Source organism: Homo sapiens, chromosome 4, assembly GCF_000001405.40.
Source record: "Homo sapiens chromosome 4, GRCh38.p14 Primary Assembly".
In the NCBI taxonomy this organism is placed as follows: domain Eukaryota; kingdom Metazoa; phylum Chordata; class Mammalia; order Primates; family Hominidae; genus Homo; species Homo sapiens.
Window position 1 is genome coordinate 81,278,348 of NC_000004.12, and position 6,325 is coordinate 81,284,672.

The window sequence follows — 6,325 nt, forward strand, 5'->3', positions numbered from 1 at the left end:
TCCGTGCTTTGGAGTATTTTGTGTATATTTATCCACTTAGTCCACGCGACAATCCTGTTAAGTATGCGCTGCCATCAACTTCATTGTATAAATAAAGAAACCAGCAGAGTGAAGTAAAGGACTTTTTTCTGGTCTCATAGGTAGTAAGAGTAGAGCAGAAATTTGATTTCAGGCAGCCCTGTTCTATAGTTTGTGATCAGGAATCCTAGGAATTGTCTCCAGGAGGCGCAGTGGATTTGGGTTTCCTTTGTTTGGTTTGAAGGATTTGTTTGTTGTTTGACAACATTGATCTTTATGTCTCCTTACCCTTTCCAGAACTTCCTTACCATCATCTAAAGTCTCCTGGCCTCTTATCACAGGCCTGAACATTTTCTTTTCTTTTTTTTTTTTTAATTTTACTTTAAGTTCTGGGATACATGTGCAGAACATGTAGGTTTGTTACACAGGTATACATGTGTCATGGTGGTCTGCTGCACCCACCCACTCAACATCTAGGTTTTAAGCCCCACATGCATTAGATATTTGTCCTAATGCTCTCCCTCCCTTTGCCCCCCACCCCCTGACAGGCCCTGGTGTGTGATATTCCCCTCCCTGTGTCCATGTGTTCTCATTGTTCACCTCCCACTTATGAGTGAGAACATGCAGTGTTTGGTTTTCTGTTCCCTTGTTAGTTTGTCGAGAATGATGGTTTCCACCTTCATCCATGTCCCTGCAAAGGATATGAACTCATTCTTTTTTATGGCTGCATAGTATTCCATGGTGTATATGTGCCACATTTTCTTTTTCCAGTCTATCATTGATGGGCATTTGGGTTGGTTCCAAGTCTTTGCTATTGTGAATAGTGCTGCAATAAACATACATGTGCACGTGTCTTTATAGTAGAATGATTTACAATCCTTTGGGTATATACCCAGTAACGAGATTGCTGGGTCAAATGGTATTTCTGGTTGTAAATCCTTGAGGAACCACCAACCACACTGTCTTCCATAATAGTTGAATTAACTTACATTCCCACCAACAGTGTAAAAGCATTCCTATTTTTCCGCATCCTTTCCAGCATCTGTTGTTTCCTGACTTTTTAATGATCACCATTCTAACTGGTGTGAGATGGTATTTCATTGTGGTTTTGATTTGCATTTCTACAATGACCAGTGATGATGAGCTTTTTTCAAATGTTTGGCCATGTAAATGTCTTCTTTTGAGAAGTATCTATTCATATCCTTTGCCCACTTTTTGATGGTTTTTTTTTTCTTGTAAATTCGTTTAAGCTCCTTGTAGATTCTGGATATTAAATCTTTGTCAGATGGCTAGATTGCAAAATTTTCTTCCATTCTGTAGGTTGCCTGTTCACTCTGATGGTAGTTTCTTTTGCTGTGCAGAAGCTCTTTAGTTTATTAGATTCCACTTGTCAATTTTGGCTTTTGTTGCAATTGCTTTTGGTGTTTTAGTCATGAAGTCTTTGCCCACGCCTATGTCCTGAATGTTATTGGCTAGGTTTTCTTCTAGGATTTTTATGATTTTACGTTTTACATTGAAGTCTTTAATCCATCTTGAGTTAATTTTTGTATAAAGTGTAAGGAAGGGATTCAGTTTCAGTTTTCTGCATATGCCTAACCAGTTTTCCCAACACCATTTATTAAATAGGGAATCCTTTCCCCATTGCTTGTTTTGGCCTCAGAAATAACACCACACATCTACATCCATCTGATCTTCGACAAACCTGACCAAGGCCTGAACATTTTCTAACCAATGTTATTTAAATATTTACATCCCATGTTCCCCAGGACAGCCTTATTCTTTTTTGTAGCTCTCACAGAATTTAGTATTCTTGTTTATGCATAATAGGTTATATATATTTATATATGTATGTGGATTTGTGTATATATATATATGTACAGTTGTGTGTATGTATATATGTATATGTGTGTATATATACATACATTTAGTATATACCATGTCTTAATTCTAATTCTTCAATAACACAATGTTTTGACTCTACCACTCTCTATGAGAAAACCAAGCCATTTCTCATGCTCAAATTTGACAGTGCAACCACATAAATATGACAACACTCTTGACATACCACAGATTAGTAAACATTCTGACTTTCCCAAGGTCTCATGCTATTTATCAAACTCAATACAAAATTTAAGCATTTCACGTACATGTGTTTTCTAATATATCTGCCCCATTTTTGAAACACTTCAGCTGTTTCACATCACATGCTACATACAAGTAGGAAATCGTCGCAGTATGATTTTAAAAATATAATATGCAGGTATATTCTTGTAGTATTTCCATAGACTTCAAAAGAAAATGATGACAATTCACCAATTCCTTGCTGAAGACATGTGCAAAAGCACACGTGGCTTTCTTACCTGCACTAATCGTGGTACCTGGTTAGCAAGAGTAAACTCTTTATGACTAGTGAGAGAAGGAAGGGAAATTTCACAAATTCAAGAAAGAAATGTAAAGCAAAATAGTTAAGATGTAGGAATTGACCTAGTAAATAAAACATAAGATACTATTTCCAGAAAATTCTTTAAACTTAAAAATTATAACTTTTTGTAATTATAATTTTCTAAAAAAATTAATATAGCAATTTTTAGGCATTGCGCCTACACAATTCTCAGGACAACAAAGAAAGGCTAGTTCTCATATTCTTTGAAGAATATTTCCATGCATATTTAGACCCTTTTAGTCAAGAAATATCTCAGGTAACCCTTGTTTAGCAATGTTTCATTAGGTAGAGAACATTGCAGTATATTTTGGATATAATCCAAATCTACAGTGGGGTGATATAGGTGAGAAGCTTGATATAACTTGAAAAGACCTAGACTCAGATTCTAGTCCAGATTCTGCTAGGCATGAGCTCCTACATTCCTACTGTCCCTCTGGAGTAATGGCCATGATCACCAAGAAAGGGTTGAGCCTGAAGATTCTATAGTTCCTTCCTTTTCCAGGATTCTATCAAAAGCCTCTGATTTTGGCAGCTCAAATTCCAAATGTACCTTGAAAATTACAATTTATGTGTCTGACTCAAGTAGAATAATAAATAGTACAGTCATTACCACATGTATTTAATCAAAAAACTATTTACTCTTATTTTCCCGCTTATTGTACTAGCCAGCTACTTCCTTAAATTGACTAAAACCAATCTGTTATTTAGAAAGTCATATAGACATAGATTAGATGAGGTGAAGATGGTTTTAGTAAGTTAATGTCTAAATAGGGATCAACAATACTCTTTTTCCTCCTAACATTGCTGGCTTAGTAACATGACTTTATTTTGACTACATTATAAAGCAAGGAATATGATAATTTGATTAAATTGTTATTATAAGCTAGTTTGGAATATTAGTATTGTATAATATGTGTTCAATAAAGGAAATTAGTATACTTGAAAACAATTGTCTCTATTCTAGAGCTAATAATAGAATAGATTTAACTTATTATTTTAAGCACCTCCTAAATTGTTAATAAGATTTGCTGATGACACCCTGAACAGAAGCAGTCAGTCCCCCAAGGCTAATTTTAAACATCTGCTTTCATCATTAAAGTTATTGTTTATTTCATCTTAAAATGGGAGTAATACAGCACTCAGCTATTCCAGAAATAGATCTATCACTCCTAAATAATTACTAGTCAGAGCATTATATTACAGATAAAGAAAATTTATACTCAATAATTCAATAAATAGACATATCCCAGTTTCAAGATAAACCACAAAAATAGACCCTGCCATAGACTAAATTCTGCCTGTTCTCCCTGACCCCTCACCACCACAAAATTCATAGATTGAAGCCCTGACTTCCAGTGTGACTTCATTTGGACCGAGGACAATTACTGAAGTAATTAGAGGTAAATGAGGTCATAGGGTGAAGCCCTAATCAGACAGGCTTTGTGTCCTTGTAAGAAGAGAAAGCGAGACCAGAGTTTTCTCCTTCTCTTTCCACTTCAACAGAACAAGGAATGACCACATGAGAACACAGTGAGAAGACAGCTATCTGCAAGCCAGGAAGAGAGCCCTCACCTGCAACTGAATTGGCCGGCCCCTTGATCTTAGACTTCAGCCTCTGGAACTGTAAGAAATACATTTTGTTCTTTAAAGCATACAGCCTGTGCTATTTTGTTTTGGCAGCCATGTGGGCTAATACAAATGGAAATCAATACAAAGGAAATCAATATTAAGATAGGAAAATGGAAGAAGAATAATCCATTAAGTAAAAGAGGAGTGTACTTTTTAGTGTCTTCTTGCAGTTATTATTTGCTTGTTTCTTTGTTTTGCAGAAGTGGAGATTTCCACTATGGTCCATGAATAAAGAAAATATTCAAAAAAAAGGGCAAGAAGCTAGTGTGTAAATGCCATATAATTCTTTACAAGCTCTTTCTATGCTCTTCAGGAACCAAACCTGAGCCTCCAACTCCCCATTTAGCAGATAGGCTTATGCCTCTTCTATCAGCCATGACACCTGTCCATGTTTTCTTGACCCGGCTAGAATTACTATCTAGTTCTCACTGACTCCCCTGAAGGAACCTGTTGAAGGGGTTAAGAATACTATAAATTTACAGATCTCATGAGATTGGCCAAGATAGCAAAACTAAGTCCATGTGAACACTGCTGTTGTTTGAGGTCTGATGTCAGATTCATTTTTATCTTCCCAAGTGGGAGTACAATAAAAATGTTCTATTAAAAAATAGTGTTTGTTTCTTTTCATAAGAGACATAGCAGACAAAATAGCTGGGTGAGAGCTGAAAGAGTCATTGTAGAATAACAGAGATAGATTAAGTAAGAAACATATGCTGTGAATAACATTTCTGGAACACAAACTATGCAATGTGTACTCTGGGGAACTCAAAGAGGTAGAATCTGACCCCTGCATATGGTGTAAGGTGATCCCATGAAAAAACGCAGCACAAAATCAATCAACTCATATTTACTCAACCCTAACTATACTCAACCCTAACTATGGTGTATGTTCAATAGCATACACCATATGCTATTCTAGATTCTAGATTTTCTAGATTCATGGAACTAATAATCCAATTGGAGAGAGTCTGCACACACATACAAATAGATGATTTGCAAGAGAAAATAACAATAATTTACTAGAAAGTTGTTTAACTTACATGAAGACAATAATTCTTAACCTCACAGCATTTTGGGTCATCAGGAATGAAGATTAAATGAAAAGCAAAATACTTAAGGGCTCCAGATAAACTTGAGTTTGATTCCCTGCTTTTCTGCTTATGAGATAATCTTAGGCAGCTGATTTACCTTTTATTAAGCCTCAGCATCTTCATCTGTAAGAAGAGGTAATAGTAGCTTCACATGATTGTTGAGAAGATTAAAAAAGATGATTTGTATAAAAGTATTTAACACAGAACCTGACATGTAGTAAGTATTTAATAAATATTAGTTAATCCATTATATGCATTTAAATACCCAGCACAGGAAATGGTTTGTATAATTGTAACAAATAGTATTTTTCATTCTTTTTTCTCTAAGTGTCAGAATAAGAAGATCATTAACAAGAAATAAAATGTACAACAAATACGTAATTAGAAATAAATGAACAAAAAAAAGTGAAGGAATGGGACTGTAGGCTTATCTAATCTGAACTACAAACAGACATAACCAAAGGCAAAAAGTATTAGAGCATTACTGCCCAAAGGGTGTGGCTTGGAGCCCTGCAGGGTCTATGTAATCAAATCCATTAGGAAATCCTTTGGGCAGAAACTTTAGAATAGCTCTTGCTACCACCACTGTTATTGCCAGGTCCAGGGTACATCATCTGGTAGCTGGGTTACTGAAGTCGTCTCTTGACTATTTTCAGCCTCTCCCCTTCCCACTTTGTGCTCTATTCTTACATAGGTAGAGTGATTCTTTTAAACTGTGAGATTGCCTTAGTCTGTTCAGGCTGCTACAAAAAAAAATCTTAAACTGGGTGCATTTATAAATAATCAAAACAATAGAAATTTTGAAGGCTGGGAAGTCTAAGATTAAGGATCCAACAGATTGGGTGTCTGGTGAGGGCTTGTTCCTCACCAATGGCACCTTCTCTGTGTCCTCACACGGCAGAAGGAGAAGGCAGCCCCCTTCAATTTCTTTTATAAGGATACTAATTCTACTCATAAGGCTGGAGCCCGTCTTAAAAGACTCCACATCTTAATACCAGCAAAATGGGGATTCAATTACAACATGAATTTTGGAGGCACACATTCAGATGACAACACAAATCATGCCATTCTCCTGATTAAAACCCGACCATAGCTTCCAATTTCACTTACAGTAAGAGCCCCTATCCTTACTATGTCCTACCAG